Here is a 23,022-nt window from a genome sequence, read left to right as displayed (position 1 = left end):
TTCTTCCATGTGAACTCAGTCTATTACTATTTAAAACTTATTTTGTTCTTCCTCATTTATTACATTAAGTCAACTTCTCCCAGTACACTGTAAACTGGTTGAAGTTAAAACAATGTTCTGTTCATCTTTATGCCCTCACAGATTTGTTATAATGTTGACATGAAGTGCAGACACTTAATTCGTGTATAGAAGGTGCTTTTCTGTAAAAATCAAATACATGTTGTTTTATGCGTAATGTCAGTTGCTCCAACTGTGAGATAAATAATAGAGGAAATTATTTCTTCTTCCATTAACAGCCAGATGTTGTGATACAGTGTGCCAGGACACCTGCATGATCACGCTACTTTCCTAGTCTCCGTTTTTCTTGGTTTGTCATTGCCCAGTACAGGAACCCTTGGAGTCTTCAAGCCTTCCCTAAGACGGCCTCAGTTTGTTCTTCTAACCCTACTACCCTCTACAAATATTTGAAACTCCTGCCAAACAGAATACTCATTTTGCTTCCTGAGAGTGCTTTCATGACTTTTCTCATACTGTTCCCACCCCTTCTTCACCCATCAAAATATGATCCAGCTTTCAGGGCCTGTTTCAGATGTTCTTTTTCCATCACCTTATTTTTGGCCGGCCTAACTAGGTGTGCATGCACCCTGCTAGCTGCCAGTGCCTTATGTTTGGAAAGAGCATTCCATCGCCTTCTTACATTGTGTTGTCTCTGCACTCACACACAGATATTTCAGAAAATGTGGAGACCCTGAGTAAAGTGGTTCTGAGACAGAAGAAAGGGGGTGAAATGGAAAGGTAGCGAGAGAGAAGGAAAACAGAATGTTCCTTCAGAGTTCTTGTTGGGAAGTGAGTCTCCGTTACTTAAAGTGTTCAAGAAGAGATTGAACAGTTACATATTGGTGATGTGATAAAAGAATTTGGCTTGTGTTGGATAAGTATTAAACTAAAAGACTTCTGAGATGGTTTTCAGTGCTAGACTTACTTTTATTGAAGTTTTCTTTTTAAAATTATTTTCAATGAAAAATTAAAATTGTATATATTTATGTATGGTATACAACATGATATTTTGATATGCATGTATATTATAGGGTGCCTAAATCAAGCTAATTAACACATGTATTACCTCACATATTTATCATTTTTGTGTGGCAAAAATAATTAAAATCTACTCTTTTAGCAACTTTCAGTATACAATATATTAGTACTAACTGTAGTCATCATGATGTACAATAAATCTCCTGAACTTATTCCTCCTGTCTAATTGAAAGTTTGTATCCTTTGACCAACATCTCCAAAATCCTCCTACCCCCAGCCTCCGGCAACTACCAGCCTACTGTGCTTCAGTGGGTTCAGCTTCTCTGGATTTCATGTAGGAGTGAAATCATGCAGTACTTGCCTTTCTGTGCCTGGTTTATTTCACCTAATGTAATGTCCTCCAGGTTCATCCATGTTGTTGCAAATGACAGAATTTCCTTCTTTTTTGAGGCTGAATAGTATTCCATTGTGTTTATACACCACATTTTCTTTATCCATTCATTCATTGATGAACACTTAGGTTTATTCCATATATTGGCTATTGTAATGTTGTGGTGAACACAGGAATGCAGCTATCTCTTCAACATACTGATTTCATTTTCCCTGGATATATACCCAGAAATGGGATTCTTCGATCATGTGGTAGTTCTATTTCTAATTTTTTGAGGAGCCAACATAAATTTTTTTTTTTTTTTTTGAGACGGAGTCTTGCTCTGTCACCCAAGCTGGAGTGCAGTGGAGCAATCTTGGCTCATGGCAAGCTCTACCTCCTGGGTTCACGCCATTCTCCTACCTCAGCCTCCCAAGTAGCTGGGACTACAGGCGCCCTCCACCATGCCCGGATAATTTTTTTGTATTTTTAGTAGAGACGGGGTTTCACCGTGTTAGCCAGGATGGTCTCGATCTGCTGACCTCGTGATCCGCCCGCCTCAGCCTCACAAAGTGCTGGGATTACAGGCGTGAGCCACTGCACCTGGCCCAACATGCTATTTTCCATAATAGCTATGCTAACTAATATTCCCACCAACAGTATACAAGGATTTCCTTTTCTGTACATCCTTGCCACCACTTATGTTTTGCCTTTTTGATGGTAGACATTCTACCAGGTTTGAGGTGATATTTCACTGTGGTTTTAATTTGCATTTCCCTGATGATTAGCGATGTCGAGCATTTTTCACATACCTATTGGCCACATGTATGTCTTCTTTTGAAAAATGTCCACTCAGGCCCTTTGTCTATATTTTGATCAGAACATTTGTTTTCTTTTCTTACTGTTGAGTTGTTTGAGTTCCTTATCTACTTTGGACATGAATCTCTTATCGTATGTATGTTGTGCAGGTATCTTCCTCCACTCCATAGGTCATCTCTTCACTCTGCTGTTTCCTTTGCTATGCAACAGCCTTGGGTTGGATGTAATCCTGTGTGTCTCTTGCTTTTGTTGCCTGTCCTTAGGGTCACATCGAAAAAGCCATTGCCCAGAGCAACGTTAGGGAGCTTTTCCCCTGTTTCCTTCCAGGAGGTTTATAGAAAAAGTCATTGCCCAGAGCGACGTTGGGGAGCTTTCCCCCTGTTTCCTTCCAGGAGGTTTATAGAAAAAGTCATTGCCCAGAGCAACGTTGGGGAGCTTTCCCCCTGTTTCCTTCCAGGAGGTTTATAGAAAAAGTCATTGCCCAGAGCGACGTTGGGGAGCTTTTCCCCTGTTTCCTTCCAGGAGGTTTATAGAAAAAGTCATTGCCCAGAGCGACGTTGGGGAGCTTTTCCCCTGTTTCCTTCCAGGAGGTTTATAGAAAAAGTCATTGCCCAAAGCGACGTTGGGGAGCTTTTCCCCTGTTTCCTTCCAGGAGGTTTATAGAAAAAGCCATTGCCCAGAGCGACGTTGGGGAGCTTTTCCCCTGTTTCCTTCCGGGAGGTTTATAGAAAAAGTCATTGCCCAGAGCGACGTTGGGGAGCTTTTCCCCTGTCTCCTTCCGGGAGGTTTATGGAAAAAGTCATTGCCCAGAGCGACGTTGGGGAGCTTTTCCCCTGTCTCCTTCCAGGAGGTTTATAGAAAAAGTCATTGCCCAGAGCGACGTTAGGGAGCTTTTCCCCTGTCTTCTTCCAGGAGGTTTATAGAAAAAGCCATTGCGCAGAGCGACGTTAGGGAGCTTTTCCCCTGTCTTCTTCCAGGAGGTTTATAGAAAAAGCCATTGCCCAGAGCGACGTTAGGGAGCTTTTCCCCTGTTTCCTTCCAGGAGGTTTATAGAAAAAGCCATTGCCCAGAGCGACGTTAGGGAGCTTTTCCCCTGTCTTCTTCCAGGAGGTTTATAGAAGAAGCCATTGCCCAGAGCGACGTTAGGGAGCTTTTCCCCTGTCTTCTTCCAGTAGGTTTATAGAAAAAGTCATTACCCAGAGCAACGTTGGGGAGCTTTTCCCCTGTTTCCTTCCAGGAGGTTTATAGAAAAAGTCATTGCCCAGAGCAACGTTAGGGAGCTTTTCCCCTGTTTCCTTCCAGGAGGTTTATAGAAAAAGTCATTGCCCAGAGCGACGTTAGGGAGCTTTTCCCCTGTTTCCTTCCAGGAGGTTCATAGAAAAAGCCATTGCCCAGAGCGACGTTGGGGAGCTTTTCCCCTGTTTCCTTCCAGGAGGTTTATAGAAAAAGTCTGCCCAGAGCGACGTTGGGGAGCTTTTCCCCTGTTTCCTTCCAGGAGGTTTATAGTCTCAGGCCTTACGCTTAAGTCTCTCTAGAATTCTTAAATTTGTGAACATCCCAAGAAGTGGAAGTAGGAAAAATGTTGAGCTATCAGTATATATGATATGGGTAAAGTGAAGTCTGTCTAGTTTACAGGAGGTTAATAAAATAATTTGAAAACTTATTTTGGCTGAAATTTTGTGCATTCTCTTTTGAGAAATAACTTTCTGTGAATCTGCTTTAAAGTAGAAAAGATGTTAATTTGCATTTCATCTCTTTTTATCTCCGCCCTATTCAATTTCTAGTTGAGATGCAAGTGAACAGTAAAATAACCAAATTTTAGTAAGAACAAGAGGCAGGACCAGAAATGATCTACAGGCTGCATAGTTAAGCTTGGAGTATTCAGAAGTGGACTATTTGTGTTTTGTGGTTTAAGACAAGAATTATTGGCTCTTTTCTGGATATAGCTGTGAGTTATTTATGAAATTATAGAAATTTTTTTGTTGAATGATAGAATTCAAAAGAATATAAAAAGAAAAATCACCAATAATCCTATAAACTGAAGATAGAAACTTTTTATACTTTTATTGTATTTTGTTTCAAACATCTCTCTTGGCATAAATACATATGTTTATGTATGTATGTGTTTGTGTGTGATTAAAACTGGATTATATGACATACTTTTTGAGGTTTTATTGTATTTTAACCTCAGCATCCAACAGAGGAAGTTTTTGAAGTTTTAAAGAAATGCCTCAGGTTCTCTGTGAAGAATCCATTATATGCTTTTTCAAAAACTGTTTTTCCCCCCAGGATTTTAAAGATATTTAGGTCGGGAAAAGCATACAAAATTAAACAACTGGAAAATGAGCTACAAACTACTGAGGTGGATGATTAATTCTGAGCACTCTGATAAGAGGGAGCAATTGTTACATAAAAGCAAGGTTTTGTAGGTAGGCAGTTGTAGTGACACAGAAAACAGCTTCTGGAGATAACATTTTAACTAGGAAAAGCTATCAGGCTTATTCATATCAACAGACAAAGCATCCTGTTAGCCCATATGGATATGGGCATAGGGAAGCTGGGAAAAATCTGCCTTTCTTTGCCGGAAATTCAGTGTTTCTGAACATAGAAAAAGAAGAAATACAGAAAGCGTCATTCAAAGAAAGGAAGCATTCACGTTCTTTTAAATAGCAAGGCTTTTCATGCCAAAATTGTGTAAGGGATTAAATGTTAGCCTGTATTCTTGTCTTGTCTTGGTTATCCATGACTTGGGAAAGCCATGCCAGTTGGTCCATGCCGCCATACCCTCATTCACCTAAGAAGAATTGGAAGTAACACTTTATGACTTATAAGGTGATTTTGCATCCCACGTAATACTTGTGCTAAATATACAAATTATTGATAGAATGCCTGGAGGAAGAGAATCTTTTGTATGGTTAACCTCACATACAGTGCATACAGTGGTAATAGATGCCACACCCCCAGATCGTTGGATTAGAGAATACACATTGATAACTGTAAAACACATTGGGAATGCTGGGTTCCTGAGGGACAAGATTGTGTTTATATTTCATTTCATGTCAGGTGTGGAATATTTTGGGGCCTGAGGCCTTGGCTGTACAGTGGAAACAAATGATGCTTCAGAGAGTCTGTAGTACAGAAAGCAGCATTTTATATTGTTTTATTTAGTGTTTTAGCAAACTAGACACCAGTATCATTGCCATGCTCTTTTTGTTATGAATCCTACTGTGTTAGCAATTGCATGGTTGGTTAGATTAATGTATAATAATGAGTCAGTGTTGGAAATGATGAGATTTGTCTCTTGTCTCTTTCTCTACAAAATTCTAATTTGTAGTAAGTAGCTCAGAACGCTCAGATTTGAATTACTCTGTTTATGCAAGAAGTCATTTATTAAATAAAGATGATGTTAGTAATTTTTAAATCAGTGGTTTGAGTCAGCTTTTTGGTTTGTAGACCAAAAAAGATTTAGTTACTTTGATGAAATGTACTCAACTACTCTCCAATTTTAAGTCAACTGCTTAAATTGTCCAGACATGTTATTTAAGGAATGGTTTCTATATTTGTTTATCATTGAAAGACATTAGACTATATATATTTAAACGTATAGTCAATATATTAAGCACAGAACCTTTCAATTATACAGGTGTCTTAAGAACCCCTGGTCCTGGAGGCTGGTGTTGTTAGTAATATTTAGAGCACTGAATTGTCCAACTAAGAAAAATTAAATTTTAACTTGATTTATACTCAAACATAGCTCTTAGAGAAATTTAAGGGATTTTCCTTTGTGCATGAAAATCTATCAAAAACACAGCCGTCTACCAATTAGATAAGAAGTAAAAAGGTAGTCTTTTAAAAAGACTAAAGCTTTTCTAAGCCAAAAATGAGGGGATTTTCTTTTCTATTTCAGTGTAAAACCTGTTCTGAGCCAAAAAAGATAACCAGTTCCTCTGCCATCTATGACAATCCAAATCTCATCAAACCAATTCCAGTGAAACCCAGTGAAAACCAGCAACAGCGTATACCTCAGCCCAACCAGGTACGGAGTTCTCTGCTTGTCATATTCAGTGTGTCTCTAGAATTCTTAAAGAACTTTGACCCAGAATATAGTCAGGGGAGGGCCTGGTGTTGTTGAAGAATGCTTTCAGGTAAACCCAAGAAAGCGGGATTTCAGAATACAGATTTTTTCATTATTAATAACTTACTCTTCCTAGAAGAGGGTTAAAGTTTTTACTTTTGGCATATACCACATTCTGTGCTAATCTCTTGTGAACTTGAACTCCTTAAAAGATAATGTATTTTTTAAAAAACAACAAGCCAGCACAGTGGCTCAAGCCTGTAATCCCAGCACTTTGAGAGGCTGAGGCGAGAGGATCATTTGAGGCCAGAAGTTTGAGAGCAGCCTGGGCAACACAGTGAGACTCCATCTCTACAGGAAAATTAGCCAGGCATGATGGCGTGCACCTGTAGTGCTAGCTGCTCTGGAGGCTGAGGCGGGAGGATCCCTTGAGCTTAGGAGTTTGAGGTTACGGTGAGCTATGGAATGCGCCACTGCACTCCAGCCTGGGCAAGAAAGCAAGACCATGTCTCAGAAAACAAAAACAAACAAACAAGCACCCTAGAAAACTAATAACATTGTCAGAGATGACAGAAACATTACCCATTGGGTCCATATTCTTCTGGGGTGGGTGGCTTCCCAAGGCCACCTGGGAGAACCACCAAGGACACAGAGTTGATTTGAGCACTTCTGAGCACCTCCTCTGTGCCAGATGCAGAGCTAGCACTGTAGACTGGGGTAGCTGCCGCCGAGAGCTCAGAGTCCAAAGGAATGGTATAAAACTCCTCTTCAGATATGATGACTTGTCACTGTCTTTGCAATCTAAATTAGAAATATTACAGCAGCTTTTGTGTTAGTGTATATATATATATATATACACTTCAGAATAGTACAGCAATGACAAAAATTGTCAATCTGTAGGTCCCATTAATGATTGTAAATATAATATTGCTGTGTCATTTTATCATGACTATGACTAATTAAAAAGATTTTCTTAAAGGAATTAGTTTATATCAATTTTGAAAATGAACATGGAGCCAAAAGACATAAAGACTAGTAATGAAAATCTTATATTGAATTTTTAAAGAAAAGAAGTCTTCTAATTTTTTAGCTTTCTTTTTATTGCTTGTTTTATGGAAAGTTTTTATTATATTTTAATAGCGAGACCTGAATATGTTGACTTTAAAATGAAGCTTGTGGTTTTTTTTCTTTCCTCTTTTATTTTTTTTTTTGAGACAGATTTCATTCCTGTTACCCGGGCTGGAGTGCAGTGGCACCATCTCAGCTCACTGCAACTTGTGTCTCCTGGGCTCAAGCAATCCTCCCACCTCAGCCTCCCAAGTAGCTGGGACTACAGGCGTGTGCTGCCACATCTGGCAATTTCTGTATTTTTTGTAGAGATGGGGTTTTGCCATGTTGCCCAGGCTGGTCTTGAACTCCTTAGCTCAAGCAGTCTGCCTGCCTTGGCCTCCCAAAGTGCAGGAATTACAGGCATGAGCCACTGTGCCTAGCCTCATGTTTTCTCAGTGCAACAATGCAGAAAGCAACAGAAGTAAAGAGCAAGAAGGAAGTAGCTTTGTAACTGGCTGGGCCAAGGTAGATTTTATGTATCCAAGGACTTTTTAAATCCTACCAGTATATATTTGAAAGGATCAAGTTAGATTTAAAGTCTTCCGTTTCTTTCCAGCCCTTGATTTCCATAATTCTGTGAAAAACTACTAGAAATTCTGAAATGCTTATATTCCTTTGTATTCTCATATTACTCTGCAGGCTTAGATGGGCTTCCTATTGAACAGATTGTTTATTTTTTTAGTGCATATAATTTCCTACCAAGGTGGTTCCCAATCTGTGAAACCCCAGGCCCTTGAAGATCTTATACCTGTTTTATCGGTCAACAGATATTAAAATATAATAACTGTTTTGGGGGTGCAAGGGGAGCATGCTGTGAAAATTTTTGACATTAAAAAGGGGATCTCATTTTTCAAGTTTATTATTATTATTTTTCATTCTCTCTAATCAATCCTTTGTAAATAGAATAAGTCATCAGATAAGTTATGTTTCATAGCACTTCCTCATATAACCAAATTGTTTGTAGACTCATGTCAGATATCTTTATTTTTTCCAGACCTTAGACCCTGAACCCCAACACTTATCCTTGACAGCTCTGTTTGGGAAGCAGGACAAAGCTACATGTCAGGAAACTGTGGAGCCTCCGCAGACTCTCCACCAGCAGCAGCAGCAGCAGCAGCAGCAGCAAGAGAAGCTTCCAATTAGGCAGGGGGTTGTACGCTCCCTGTCCTATGAGGAACCCAGAAGACACTCACCCCCCATTGAGAAGCAGCTCTGTCCAGCCATTCAGAAACTCATGGTCAGGAGCGCAGACCTCCACCCATTGTCAGAGCTGCCTGAAAACCGGCCTTGTGAAAATGGCAGTACCCATTCTGCGGGAGAATTTTTTACAGGACCTGTCCAGCCAGGGTCTCCTCACAACATTGGAACTTCTCGTGGTGTACAAAATGCTTCCAGAACTCAGAACCTGTTCGAGAAACTTCAGAGTACCCCAGGGGCAGCAAACAAGTGTGACCCTAGTACACCAGCACCTGCCAGCTCAGCTGCCCTGAACCGCAGCAGAGCTCCCACTTCTGTCACCCCTGTGGCTCCAGGAAAGGGTCTGGCTCAGCCACCACAGGCCTATTTCAATGGCTCCCTTCCACCTCAGACAGTAGGACATCAGGCTCATGGAAGAGAACAGTCCACACTCCCAAGACAAACACTCCCCATCTCTGGTAGTCAGACTGGCAGCTCTGGAGTGATCTCCCCTCAAGAGTTACTGAAGAAGCTTCAGATTGTACAGCAGGAGCAGCAGCTGCATGCCTCTAACCGGCCAGCCTTGGCCGCTAAGTTTCCTGTGCTCGCTCAGAGCTCTGGAACAGGGAAACCCTTGGAATCCTGGATCAACAAGACACCCAACACAGAACAGCAGACTCCTCTTTTCCAGGTAAATATGTACCAGGGGCAAAATAAAACAGCCTGGGCAGCATAGCAAGATCCTGTCCCTAAAAAAAAAAAAAAAGTAGCCAGGCTTGGTGTCACACGCCTATAGCACCAGCTACTGAGGAGGCTGAGGTGGGAGGATCCCTTGAGCTCAAGAGGCGGAGGTTACAGTGAACCATGATCGTGCCACTGCACTCCAGCCTGGGTGACAGAGCGAGACCCTGTCTGTTAAGAAAAAAAAAGACAGACAAAGAAAAAGGTATTACTATAATGCAGTGAAATGTAGAGTCCACTTCCATGCTCTAGGGACCAATGTGTCACGTACATTTCTGTTTGGAGCAGGGTGCACCTCCGTGCATCTTGATTGCCTGAACTTTCTACCTGGAAGGAGAATCTTCACTTTGGTTAACAATCTGAGAACTTCCCCCAACCTTTTTGAGAGCATTACTTGTAGAGTTAAATCTTCGTTATATTAGGAGGTCTGAAGACCAACACAGACATGGGAGAAAACCGTAATTTTTGACTGTAGGAACTTAGTATGGTCTGCCTTGAAATCAATCTGGAATGCCAAGCAACTGACCTCCTCTTGTTTTTCAGTCCACAGTAAATTATTCACTTATTTAGTAAATATTTTTGAGCACTTACTACATGTCAGGCATTGTCTACATGTGGGTACATAATGATGAAGAAAACAGACTCCTTACCCACAGCCCATGCTGTAGGTTCTTGAAATAAACAAAAAACAGCCTATTTCCTCCTGAAAGGTGCAGCCAGTTTTTATCTTTCTCTGTATCGTCAGTATAGCCTACTGTAGATCAGGAGAGGTATGCATGCCACCCACCTCCACCCCCCACACAAACTGCCAGAGAGGGAAAATATGACAGTTTTTAGAAAGATTCTCTCCTTTAGAGAAGATGCTTTTCCATGTCCATCACTGACTTGGGACAGTGAGGAAACCACAAGCTATTGATCATCTGCCTGTGGGTAACATCTGGAGATCTGACATTGAATTGTTTTCCCTTTGGATTGGAACACATTCATTGAAAGTACATTGGGTTTAAAAATTGGAAAGTTCTCCCTGTGTATCACATATATCATCACTGGCCCTTTGTCATGTTTTGTTATGTACCTTTTTTTGTTTTTTGAGACAGAGTTTCACTCTTGTCGCCCAGGCTGGAGTACAATGGTGCGATCTCGGCTCACTGCAACCTCCACCTCCCGGGTTCAGGCGATTCTGCTGCCTCAGCCTCCTGAGTAGCAGGGATTACAGGCACCTGCCACCACACCTGGCTAATTTTTTGTATTTTTTTAGTAGAGACGAGGTGTCACGATGTTGGCCTGGCTGGTCTCGAACTTCTGACCTCAGGTGATCCACCCACCTCGGGCTCTCAGAGTGCTGGGATTACAGTCGTGAGCCACTGCACCTGGCCTGTTATGTAACTTATAACAGTTTCTCAAAAATCTTGAACTTTTGGCTGGGCATGGTGACTCGTGCCTGTAATCCCAGCACTTTGGAGGTTAAGATAGGAGAATCGCTTGAACCTAGGAGTTTCAGACCAGCCTGGGCAACATAGACCCTGTCTCTACAAGAATTTTTTGTTTTTAATTAGCCGGGTATGGTGGCATGCCACTGTGGTCCCAGCTACTTGGGAGGCTGAAGTGGGAAGATTGCTTGAGCCCAAGAAGTTGAGGCTGCAGTCAGCCATGTTTGCACCACTGCACTCCAGCCTGGGCAGTAGAGTGAGACCTTGTCTCAAAACAAAAAATTCAGTTTTTTGAAAACAAAGACCTTAGGCATGTGCCAAAAGTCTTTGTGAGCCCCTGAGTCAAAGTGTTCTCATTTATTATTTATTAACATCCCAAATCTGAGTACCGACTGCTATAGAAACAATATTTATAACTCCCACTCCCCCTCATTTCAGTGTTATTGTCCCTTTTTTAAAAATGTCTGCTTTTTTCCTCTTTGATGATTTAGAATTAGAAGCATGCGATGAATATAGTCTGACTTAAATTTCTGATGTACAACTCCCTTGACTTTTCAGTACTCACAAATATCAAGAGCCGAGTGAGAAAGGCAAGCATTTCAGCAGCCCACGCTGTGCTCAGAATGCTTGACTCCACCTCCGGGAGCATCACTGCTCAGCACCGCTCCTCGAAATGTCATGTAGGGACAAGTTAAAAGAAACAGCCTGCCTTCCTCTAGGCCAACTTTTGCTCAAAGAGACGCTAAGGGATTGATTATAAAATTACAGCAACTTCTAGCTTGCTGGCCTCCTTGCCTCCCTCTTAGGAGTTCTTTCGGGGAGTTCGGAGGCTGATAAATAACATTCTTTTTCTTCCCTGAGTTAGAAGCAAATGATAGCTGTAGGAGTCAGTCAGATAAGGATCAAAATGTCACTTGCATAACTGAAAGGGCTGTTAGAAAACTTGGTTTCAGGTCTGTTTGCCAAGGGAGTTAGACTCAGCAGACAGGCTCTGGCAGGGCTGAGCAACAGGCCGCCCGGGTCAGCCCAAACACATCAGCTGCGGAAGCTGAAGATGAGGGCTCTCTGCAGGCAGGCAGATCCTGTCAGGGAAGGACCCAGAAGGGGTGGACCCACACATCACTCTCCCTCCCCACGAGAAGTGAGTGAGGCCGCAGGAGGGGCGGGGAGTTGCTCTCACAGCGCCTCCTGTGCTCCGGGGTCAGGAGGGGAAATGGGGAGGCCCCTAACAAGGGTGGCAGCTCACATAGGTTGTGAGACCTTTAGGTCAGGGTCATGGACAACCAGGTCTAAGGAAAAGGTCAGTAGTCCTAAATGCACTTGCCAAATACTGGTAGCCTGAAAAATAAGCTGTCACCCAGAGGCCAAGCTGCATATGCAGTGGAAAGAATAGTCCCCACAGCAGACGATACCAGAGCTGCTCAGTGATGCTGAAGGAAGGTGCATGGAGCAGTGGAGCAAGAATCAGTTTCCCATAAACTTTTCTCAGCTAGGAAAGCTGTGGACAGGGAATGCTTAGACCACCCGTATCTGCCGCTGCAAGCTATCATGCCGTGAGCTGCTCCTGAACCCCGCTCTCTGTGTGTATTTGCTGTGAGCAGGTCATCTCACCTCAGCGCATCCCTGCTACAGCAGCTCCGTCTCTGCTTATGTCCCCCATGGTGTTCGCACAACCCACCTCCGTCCCGCCAAAGGAAAGGGAGAGCGGCCTCTTGCCTGTGGGAGGCCAGGAGCCACCTGCTGCTGCCACCAGCCTCCTCCTGCCCATACAGAGCCCGGAGCCCTCCGTGATCACCAGCAGCCCACTCACCAAGCTCCAGCTCCAGGAGGCACTGCTGTACCTCATTCAGGTAAGCAAGCACGTCATCTCCCTTCGCACCTGACCACGCCTGTTGGCCTCCTGGCTGCAACTATGAGATAAAGACTCAGCCAAGGCCTGCTTAGCTTCCGTGAGAATAACAGGTGTGTGTAACAACTCATCCTGACCCCAGCGGCTTCTGTGCTCAGTTAGCTAGGTGTTATTTATAATACCAAGTGTGGCTTGGGTGTCTCAGCTCTTCAAGGATTTTGTAATTTGAAGGACTGTCTAAGGCCTCCAAGCTGTCACCTGTCAGAAGAGAAGGAAGCATATGCTGGGGATTAAGCAGTCCCTGAGAGGACCCTGGGTGCTGGAGGCCCAGACAGAAAACTCACCATTGGGAGGTAGAGGTGGGAGCAGTCCTGGGCAAGGGGCCATCTGTTGAGTGGGGAAGAGGCCACTGAGCGAGTGGAAAACAGGGAGGGAAGCAAATAATGGCCATGGCTGCTACAGGTATGTTTTACAAGTCATTTTGAAACCTGCTCATTAGGACGGGATGGAGTGACAGGACTCCTTGTGAGCTGCTAGCCTCACTTGCCTATGAAATTATGAAATAATAATGAGTGCTATAATAGCTAACACTCCACAGAGCTGGCGCCGGGCCCTATTTTCAGTGCTACACACAAGCATATAACTCATTCACTCCTTACATAACAACCCTGTTATTTTTCCCATTCTACAGACAAGGAAACTGAGGCTGAGCAACTGGCCTGAGGCACGGAGCTCGTACATAAGCAGGGCTGGGATGCACCCAGCCTGGCCCCCGAGTGCCACTTCCCACGTACTCTCCCGTGGGCCACGTTCACCACATGAATGTTGGCAGGGACCAGCCTCGGGAGAACATTCAGCACAGGTGCCCTAGCAAAGCACACCCAAGAAATCAACGGCAGTCCTTGAAAAGTGGAACATTTGTAGCCAGACAGACTTCAGACACCCCAGTTAACATATTTAGGTGTCTTTTTGGTAGATAATCTTTAAGAAAACTTGTGTGGTACTTTGCTTAAGCATCAGACGGCCTTTAGAGAGCAGGCCAGCCCTTCTGCGGTTGTCTTATCCTACTTAAAAAGACAGTGGTCTCAATTAGTACAACATTTTTAAAAAGGTTCCATGTTGGCCGGGCACAGTGGCTGCTCACGCCTGTAATCCCAGCACTTTGGGAAGCCAAGGTGGGAGCATTGCTTGAGGCCAGGAGTTCAAGACCAGCCTGAGCAACATAGCGAGACTACAAAAGAAGGAAACATGTTTGAGGAAGAATGAAAGGAATGGGGCTAGAAGTCAGCAGAAGCATAATAACAATCAGAGATAAATAAGGTCAACAGCAAATGATTGAGCCCTACTAATTCATAAGTAAATATCAGGATAAAAATATTTGCCACCTTTTAAAGCTATTCATAGTAAGCTCAGGAGGAATTAGACATCTGTGAACCTCTTTACTTTGAGCCAGTTTCTTAAGTTGTAATTTAAAAGATCCATATGTTTTCTGGCTGATTCCCTTCACATTGTCTTGAGACTCTACTCCAGAGTAGTGGCTGAACATGGCGGATTAGAAATTACATTCCCCTGCCCTCCACTCTGCGTGCATTTTACTTCTTCCCGTGTACCACACCTCATATTCCCAGTCACTCAAGCAGTCTGTTTTTAGTTTCTGCCTCTTGTTAGGACACAATCTCATGCAGAGGAACTTTGTGACTACTTTGCAGGAAAAAGAGGGATAACATCACTCTCTTCATTGCATGAGAATGATGCTAAATCTGTGTGGGGTGCCAAGAGGGAATGAAGGGGGAATGTGAAGTGTGGGTGAATTACTAACACTGTAAAGAATTTGGGTGGGAGGGAGAAGTCTCTAGAATTAAAACATGAGGAAAACCACTGATTAGACCGTGATTCTCACTCCTTAGCCAGGCAAAAGAGCCCAGAGATTACCAGTCTTACTCCTGCCCACTTGCCAAGGCTAGAAACTTTCCATAACTTATGGGAAGACTTATATTAGCTTTGATGAAGTACTGATGAAGCATATTGCAAGTAAAATCCTAAGTAATGCCCAAAACAAAGCAGACACATTGTAGGTGACTTGGAGGGCCTTTAAGAACCACAGTGGCTCATGCCTGTAATCCAACACTTGGGGAGGCCAAAGTGGGAGGCTCACTTGAGCCCAGGAGTTCAAGACCACCCTGAGCAACATAGTGAGACCCTGTCTTAACAAAAAACTTAAAAGCCAGGCATGGTAGCACGCACCTGTAGCCCTAGCTACTCTGGAGGCTGAGGTGGGAGGATCGCTTGAACCCATGAGGTTGAGGCTGCAGTGAGCTATGATGGCACTACTGCACTTTAGCTTGGGTGACAGAGTGAGACCCAGTCTCAAAAACCCAAAAAACAAGAAACAAAAAAACACACCACAGCAATCTCTTAACCAAACTTTGAGACCACTGACTTGGATCATGTCCTCCTAACTCCTCTGTCTGCTGGGGCTTCATGTCTTTTCATGCAGCAGACCCAGGCTGTTCTTGAGTAAACCTTGCTCCATGCTGCCATGTGTCTGGGCTGCCCATCTGTGCTGCATGTAATGAGCTCTTGCTGCTGTGCATACTGACCATGGAAAACCATCAGCTCTGTCCGGCCTTGCCGTCAACCCCACTTAACATTCACACATGCAATTAAAAACCACCAGCTGTTAGACAGGGAGAGATGAGTGTCTCAGTATCCAAAGGCCAGTTCAGCTCTAAGACAGAGGAAGCCTTTTGTGTCTGCCAACCAAGTAACATTCTCTTGGGTCTTTCGATTTGTTTTCCAGAATGATGACAACTTCTTAAATATAATCTATGAAGCCTATCTCTTCAGCATGACTCAAGCAGCCATGAAAAAGACTATGTGACAGCAAGGCCTTTTAAAACTGATTTTCAAGGTCCTTCTAGAACTCCGGCACAAGGTTCTTTCATGTTGAGTGTTGTTTCCTTCAATGTTTCTGCCTTTTTTAAAAAAAAAGTATGTGTAATATGAAGTAAAATGTTTCAGACTTTTTTTTATACTCAAGTGTTTTTTAATTATTATTATACTTTAAGTTCTGGGGTACATGTACAGAACATGCAGGTTTGTTACATAGGTATACACATGCCATGGTGGTTTGCTGCACCCATCAACCCATCATCTACATTAGTATTTCTCCTAACGCGCTTCCTCCCCTAGTCCCCCACCCCGCGACAGACCCCAGTGTGTGATGTTCCCCTCCCTATGTCCGTGTGTTCTCATTGTTCAATTCCCACCTGTGAGTGAGAACATGTGGTGTTTGGTTTTCTGTTACTTTGTTAGTTTGCTGAGAATGATGGTTTCCAGCTTCATCCATGCCCCTGCAAAGGACAAGAACTCATTCTTTTTTATGGCTGCATAGTATTCCCTGGGTGTATATATGCCGTATTTTCTTTATCCAGTCTATCATTAATGGACATTTGGGTTGGTTCCAAGTCTTTGCTATTGTGAATAGTGCTGCAATAAACATACGTGTGCATGTGTCTTGATAGTGGAATGATAATCCTTTGATTATAGTAGAGTTACAATCCTTTGGGTATATACCCAGTAATAAGTAGAGTTATAATCCTTCGGGTATATACCTAGTTATGGGTAATAATTAGAGTTATAATCCTTTGGGTATATACCCAGTAATGGGATTGCTGGGTCAAATGGTATTTCTGGTTCTAGATCCTTGAGGAATCACCACACTGTCTTCCACAATGGTTGAACTAATTTACACTCCCAACAACAATGTAAAAGCGTTCCTGTTTCTCCACATCCTCTCCAGCATCTGTTGTTTCCTGACTTTTTAATGATCACCATTGTAACTGGTGTGAGATGGTATCTCATTGTGGCTTTGATTTGCATTTCTCTAATGACCAGTGATGATGAGCTTTTTTTCATGTTTGTTGGCCACATAAATGTCTTCTTTTGAGAAGTGTCTGTTCATATACTTTGCCCACTTTTTGATGGGATTGTTTTTTTCTTGTAAATTTGTTTAAGTTCTTTGTAGATTCTGGATATTAGCCCTTTGTCAGATGGGCAGATTGCAAAAAATTTCTCCCATTCTGTAGGTTGCCTGTTCATTCTGATATAGTTTCTTTTGATGTGCAGAAACTCTTTAGTTTAATCAGATCCCATTTGTCAATTTTGGCTTTTGTTGCCATTGCTTTTGGTGTTTTAGTCATGAAGTCTTTGCACATGCCTATGTCCTGAACGGTATTGCCTAGGTTTTCTTCTAGGGTTTTTATGGTTTTAGGTCTTACATTTAAGTCTTTAATCCATCTTGAGTTAATTTTTGTATAAGGTGTAAGGAAGGGGTCCAGTTTCAGCTTTCTGCATATGGCTAGCCAGTTTTCCCAACACCACTTATTAAATAGGGAATCCTTTCCCCATTGCTTGTTTTTGTCAGGTTTGTCAAAAGTCAGATGGTTGTAGATGTGTGGCATTATTTCTGAGGGCCTCTGTTCTGTTCCTTGGTCTGTATATCTGTTTTGGTACCAGTACCATGCTGTTTTGGTTACTGTAGCCTTGTAGTATAGTTTGAAGTCAGGTAACATGATGCCTGCAGCTTTGTTCTTTTTACTTAGGATTGTCTTGGCTATACGGGCTCTTTTTTGGTTCCATATGAAATTTAAAGTAGTTTTTTCTAATTCTGTGAAGAAAGTCAATGGTAGCTTGATGGGGATAGCATTGAATCTATAAATTACTTTGGGCAGTGTGGCCATTTTGATCATACTGATTCTTCCTAGCCATGAGCATGGAATGTTTTTCCATTTCTTTGTGTCCTCTCTTATTTCCTTGAGTTGTGGTTTGTAGGTCTCCTTGAAGAGATCCTTCACATCCCTTGTAAGTTGTATTCCTAGGTATTTTATTATCTTTGTAGCAATTGTGAATGGGAGTTCACTTATGATTTGGCTCTCTGTTTGTCTATTATTGGTGTATAGGAATGCTTGTGATTTTTGCACATTGATTTTGTATCCTGAGACTTTGCTGAAATTGCTTATGAGTTTAAGATTTTGGGCTGAGACGATGGGGTTTTCTAAATATACAGTCATGTCATCTGCAAACAGAGACAATTTGACTTCCTCTGTTCCTATTTGAATATTATTTCTTTCTCTTGCCTGATTGCCCTGGCCAGAACTTCCAATACTATGTTGAATAGGAGTATTGAGAGAGGGCATCCTTGTCTTGTGCCAGTTTTCAAAGGGAATGCTTTCAACTTTTGCCCATTCAGTATGATATTGGCTGTGGGTTTGTCATAAATAGCTCTTATTATTTTGAGATACATTCCATCAATACCTAGTTTATTGAGAGTTTTTAGCGTGAAGGGGTGTTGAATTTTATCGAAGGCCTTTTCTGCATCTATTGAGATAATCATGTGGTTTTTGTCATTGGTTCTGTTTATGTGATGGATGACGTTTATTGGTTTGTGTATGTTGAACCAGCCTTGCATCCGAGGGATGAAGCTGACATGATCGTGGTGGATAAGCTTTTTGATGTGCTGCTGGATTCGGTTTGCCAGTATTTTATTAAGGATTTTCGCTTTGATGTTCATCAGGGATATTGACCTGAAATTTTCTTTTTTTGTTGTGTGTCTCTGCCAGGTTTTGGTATCAAGATGATGCTGGCCTCATAAAATGAGTTAGGGAGGAGTCTCTCTTTTTCTACTGTTTGGAATAGTTTCAGAAGGAATGGTACCAGCTCCTCTTTGTACCTCTGGTAGAATTCAGCTGTGAATCCATCTGGTCCTGGGTTGATAGGCTATTAATTACTGCCTCAATTTCAGAACTTGTTATTGGCCTATTCAGGGCTTCGACTTCTTCCTGGTTTAGTCTTGGGAGGGTGTATGTGTCAAGGAATTTATCCATTTCTCCTAGATTTTCTTGTTTATTTGCATAGAGGTGTTTATGGTATTCTCTGATGGTAGTTTGTATTTCTGTGGGATCTGTGGTGATATCCCCTTTGTCATTTTTTATTGTGTCTATTTGACTCTTCTCTCTTTTCTTCTTTATTATTCTGGCTAGCAGTCTATCTATTTTGTTAATCTTTTCAAAAAACCAGGTCCTGGATTCATTGATTTTTTGAAGGGTTTTTCGTGTTTCTGTCTCCTTCAGTTCTGCTCTGATTTTAGTTATTTCTTGTCTTCTGTTAGCTTTTGAATTTGTTTGCCCTTGCTTCTCTAGTTCTTTTAATTGTGATGTTAGGGTGTCAATTTTAGATCATTCCCGCTTTCTTCTGCAGGCATTTTAGTGCTATAAATTTCCCTCTAAACACTCCTTTAGATAGATGTGTCCCAGAGATTCTGGTGCGATATGTCTTTGTTTTCCCTGGTTTCAAAGAACTTACTTATTTCTGCCTTAATTTCGTTATTTACCCAGTAGTCATTCAGGAGCAGGTTGTTCAGTTTCCGTGTAGTTGTGCGGTTTTGAGTGAGTTTCTTAATCCTGAGTTCTAATTTGATTGCACAGTGGTCTGAGAGACTGTTTGTTATGATTTCCATTCTTTTGCATTTGCTAAGGAGTGCTTTACTTCCGATTATGTGGTCAATTTTAGAATAAGTGTGATGTGGTACTGAGAAGAATGTATATTCTGTTGATTTGGAGAGAAGAGTTCTGTAGATGTCTGTTAGGTTCATTTGGTCCAGAGCTGAGTTCAAGTCCTGAATATCCTTGTTAATTTTCCGTCTCATTGATCTGTCTAATATTGACAGAGGGGCGTTAAAGTCTCCCACTATTATTATGTAGGAGTCTAAGTCTCTTTGTATGTTTCTGGGAACTTGCTTTATGAATCTGGGTGCTCCTGTGTTGGGTGCATATATATTTAGGATAGTTAGCTCTTCTTGTTGCATTGATCCCTTTACCATTATGTAATGCCCTTCTTTGTCTTTTTTGATCTTTGTTGGTTTAAAGTCTGTTTTATCAGAGACTAGGATTGCAACTTCTGCTTTTTTTCTTCTTTCCATTTGCTTGGTAAATATTCCTCCATCCCTTTATTTTGAGCCTATGTGTGTCTTTGCACGTGAGATGGGTCTCCTGAATACAGCACACCGATGGGTCTTGCCTCTTTATCCAATTTGCCACTCTGTGTCTTTTAATTGGGGCATTTAGCCCATTTACATTTAAGGTTAATATTGTTGTGTGTAAACTTGATCCTGTCATTATGATGCTAGCTGGTTATTTTGCCCGTTAGTTGATGCAGTTTCTTCATAATGTCGATGGTCTTTACAATTTGGTATGTTTTTGCAGTGGCTGGTACCAGTTTTTCCTTTCCATATTTAGTGCAGAGTGGACCTCCAGCAAACTCCAGCAGACCTGCAGCAGAGGGGCCTGACTGTTAGAAGGAAAACTAACAAACAGAAAGGAATACCATCAACATTAACAAAAAGGACGTCCACGCAAAAACCCCATCCGAAGGTCATCAGTGTCAAAGATAAATCCACGAAGATGGGGAAAAAACAGTGCAAAAAGGCTAAAAATTCCAAAAACCAGAATGCCTCTTCTCCTCCAAAGGATCACAACTCCTCGCCAGCAGGGGAACAAAACTGGATGGAGAATGAATTGACAGAAGTAGGCTTCAGAAGGTGGGTCGTTACAGACTCCTCCAAGCTAAAGGAGCATGTTCTAACCCAATGCAAGGAAGCTAAGAACCTTGAAAAAAGGTTACAGGAACTGCTAACTAGAATAACCAGTTTAGAGAAGAACATATATGACCTGATGGAGCTGAAAAACACAGCACGAGAACTTCGTGATGCATACATAAGTATCAGTAGCCGAATTGATCAAGCAGAAAAAAGGATATCAGAGATTGAAGATCAACTTAATGAAATAAAGCGTGAAGACAAGATTAGAGAAAAAAATGAAAAGGATGAACAAGGCCTCCAAGAAATATGGGACTATGTGAAAAGACCAAACCTACATTTGATTGGTGTACCTGTAAGTGATGGGGAGAATGGAACCAAGTTGGAAAACACTCTTCAGGATATTATCCAGGAGAACTTCCCCAACCTGGCAAGGCAGGCCAACATTCAAATTCAGGAAATACAGAGAACACCACAAAGATACTCCTCGAGAAGAGCAACCCCAAGACACATAATTTTCAGATTCACCAAGGTTGAAATGAAGGAAAAAATGTTAAGGGAGGCCAGAAAGGTCAAGTTACCCACAAAGGGAAGCCCATCAGACTAACAGTGGATATCTCTGCAGAAACCCTACAAGCCAGAAGAGAGTGGGGGCCAACATTCAACATTCTTAAAGAATAGAATTTTCAGGGGCCAGGCGCGGTGGCTCACACCTGTAAGCCCAGCACTTTGGGAGGCTGAGACAGGTGGATCACGAGGTCAGGAGATCGAGACCATCCTGGCTAACACGGTGAAACCCTGTCTCTACTAAAAATACAAAAAATTAGCCGGGCATGATGGAGGGCGCCTGTAGTCCCAGCTACTCGGGCGACAGAGCGAGACTCCGTTTCAAAAAAAAAAAAAGAATAGAATTTTCAACCCAGAATTTCATATCCAGCCAAACTAAGCTTCATAAGCGAAGGAGAAATAAAATCCTTTACACACAAGCAAATGCTGAGAGATTTTGTCACCACCAGGCCTGCCTTTCAAGTGTTTTTGTTTTGTTTTGCTTTTAGAAATCACGTCCTTCAGTACACCTGGTACTAAGAATTGAGCGGGTAGGAAAATTCTTTGCTTAGGTCACTCAGTAAATGCCAAGCTTAGTATGTTTCCTTAAATGTATGGAGCCACTTCAGAAGAATCAGTGTCTCTGTGAGAAGGGCTGTTCTCAGAGCTTAGTTCTTTATTAATAAGTCTGGTGGTTCTTTGAGCAGTGTGTAACTTCCATTGGGGAGCTCCGTGCGCACAGTGCACGCCGACCACCAGGTGGCAGTGTCGTCCCACAAGTTAACCTACAAAGGCTTTAATGAGCCTTTGGAAGTAACGACGGTTTTCTTTTACCAGACAAAGTAAACCTTTCATTTGTAAAAACCCAGTTGGCATGTTTTACCCAATCCTTTGAAGGAAGTTATTTCTAAAGGTATTTATAGCTAGTTTCTAGAGGATAGATGTTCTAGGAGTTGACAAATGGCCCAGATTTCCAGCAACACTTCATCCATCCCAGCCCATGAAGCAGCAGGATGTGCCCGCCTAAGCTTCCGAATGGATAGTATATCACCCTTAGCAGAACACGCTGAGGCGGAGGGCACAGGAGATTGTCACTGTGATGTTCAGGGCGTCATGATCTGCAAGCTGTGTAGCAGATCGAGTTTTATGTTCGCAGAGATGAGGAGCTTAATCTTGGAAGGAGTCAGAAGAGCCCCTGCCAAGTTGTTAAGAGTATCTATGGGAATTCGTCCCTGCTGAGTATTTGTAATAAATAAAGCTTTGCGTTTCAATAGCACTTCTTATTCTCGGATAATAAAAAGATCTTCGATTACTGCACAGCCGACAGGTGTTTTATTCTCATTTTATAGTTCATAAAATGGAAGCGTGAGGAAAACAGGTTTCCCTACCGTTTCTGAGACCTGGGCTTGGACTTTAAGCTCTAGACCTTTGTTCAGCCACAGCATCGAGTGAAAGCATTGTTAGAACACCACCTCCCCTACTCTCCCGCAGGAGGGTGCTTTTTCTTGTGAAGAGAAAGGGTGGGTGGAAAAGGGATTGACTGTTACTGAACCCCTGTTATGTGCCAGACCTTGGCGAGGAGTCTGCTGTGTTACCCTCCAACATTTAGGAAGGGGTGAGTTCTTTTGTTTCGTTGGTATCTCCTACAACATCTAACATAGTGATAAACCATGCAAAGTTTTCACAAAACACTTGAAATTAATAATTGCATATATGGTATCTCAATATTCTTATAAGGAGAACAGGGCGAGGACAGAGACACACTTGGATCTGTTATTCAAAGTCAGTGATCATAGTGCTTGCCTCAGCGATACATGCACAAAAATGGGACAAAATCAATGATCTGATTAACTGCTGGATTCAAAGTCAGTGATCGTAGTGCTTGCCTCAGCGATACATGCACAAAAATGGGGCAAAATCAATGATCTGATTAACTGCTGGCAACCTTAACAATGTATCTTTGATCTTAATTACATGTTTAGAGTTGCTTCGCTAGCTAAGGAGAGATGAATTCCATACTTAATGTTCCTAACGTATTTGCAGTAGCAAATGGCTAATTTCATGAAATATTTATTCTTTTGCTTCAGAACCGAGTAAATAAAACAGAAAGAATATCAGTTGCCGTACCTAATGTGAGAAGGTGCCCATGTTCTGATGCGACGGGGGAACAAACCCAAGCCCAGCATGGTCAGACCTGCCCTGCAGGCTTCAGTCGGGCCTTTCTAGGTCAACACCACAGTCATCTGTTTTGAAAAATAATAAATTCTCCATCCTTTA

General features: G+C 42.2%; 1 protein-coding gene across 2 annotated transcripts in view, besides 1 other annotated feature; it reads left to right on the top strand.

The window, feature by feature from the left end:
- The window catches only part of DCP1B (decapping mRNA 1B), a 62,867-nt gene extending 42,766 nt beyond the window's left edge, over positions 1-20,101 (top strand). The window contains exons 7-11 of one of the 2 annotated variants that reach the window (NR_135060.2): positions 6,132-6,260; positions 8,404-9,276; positions 12,358-12,606; positions 15,406-15,540; positions 19,901-20,101. Coding sequence is in view for 1 of the 2 variants with exons in the window: in NM_152640.5 (NP_689853.3) it covers positions 6,132-6,260; positions 8,404-9,276; positions 12,358-12,606; positions 15,406-15,486 (1,332 nt within the window). In the remaining variant the exon portion in view is untranslated. Of the gene's footprint in view, positions 1-6,131; positions 6,261-8,403; positions 9,277-12,357; positions 12,607-15,405; positions 15,640-19,900 lie in introns of those variants that run through there. The other variant, NM_152640.5, reaches the window with a different exon arrangement.
- Positions 6,436-7,635: an enhancer, noted in NCBI's record as "MED14-independent group 3 enhancer chr12:2063223-2064422 (GRCh37/hg19 assembly coordinates)". NCBI's record gives its function as "activates an origin of replication core promoter dependent on BRD2, BRD4, P300/CBP and CDK7 cofactors, and independent of MED14, by STARR-seq in HCT116 cells {active_cell/tissue: HCT116}" and the evidence as "EXISTENCE:reporter gene assay evidence [ECO:0000049][PMID:35650434]".
- Positions 20,102-23,022: the final 2,921 nt, after the last annotated feature.

The sequence above is a fragment of the Homo sapiens genome, chromosome 12 (genome assembly GCF_000001405.40).
Source record: "Homo sapiens chromosome 12, GRCh38.p14 Primary Assembly".
Taxonomy (NCBI): Eukaryota; Metazoa; Chordata; class Mammalia; order Primates; family Hominidae; genus Homo; species Homo sapiens.
Note: the sequence above shows the minus strand (reverse complement) of the source record. Positions and strands in the feature narration are given on the sequence as shown.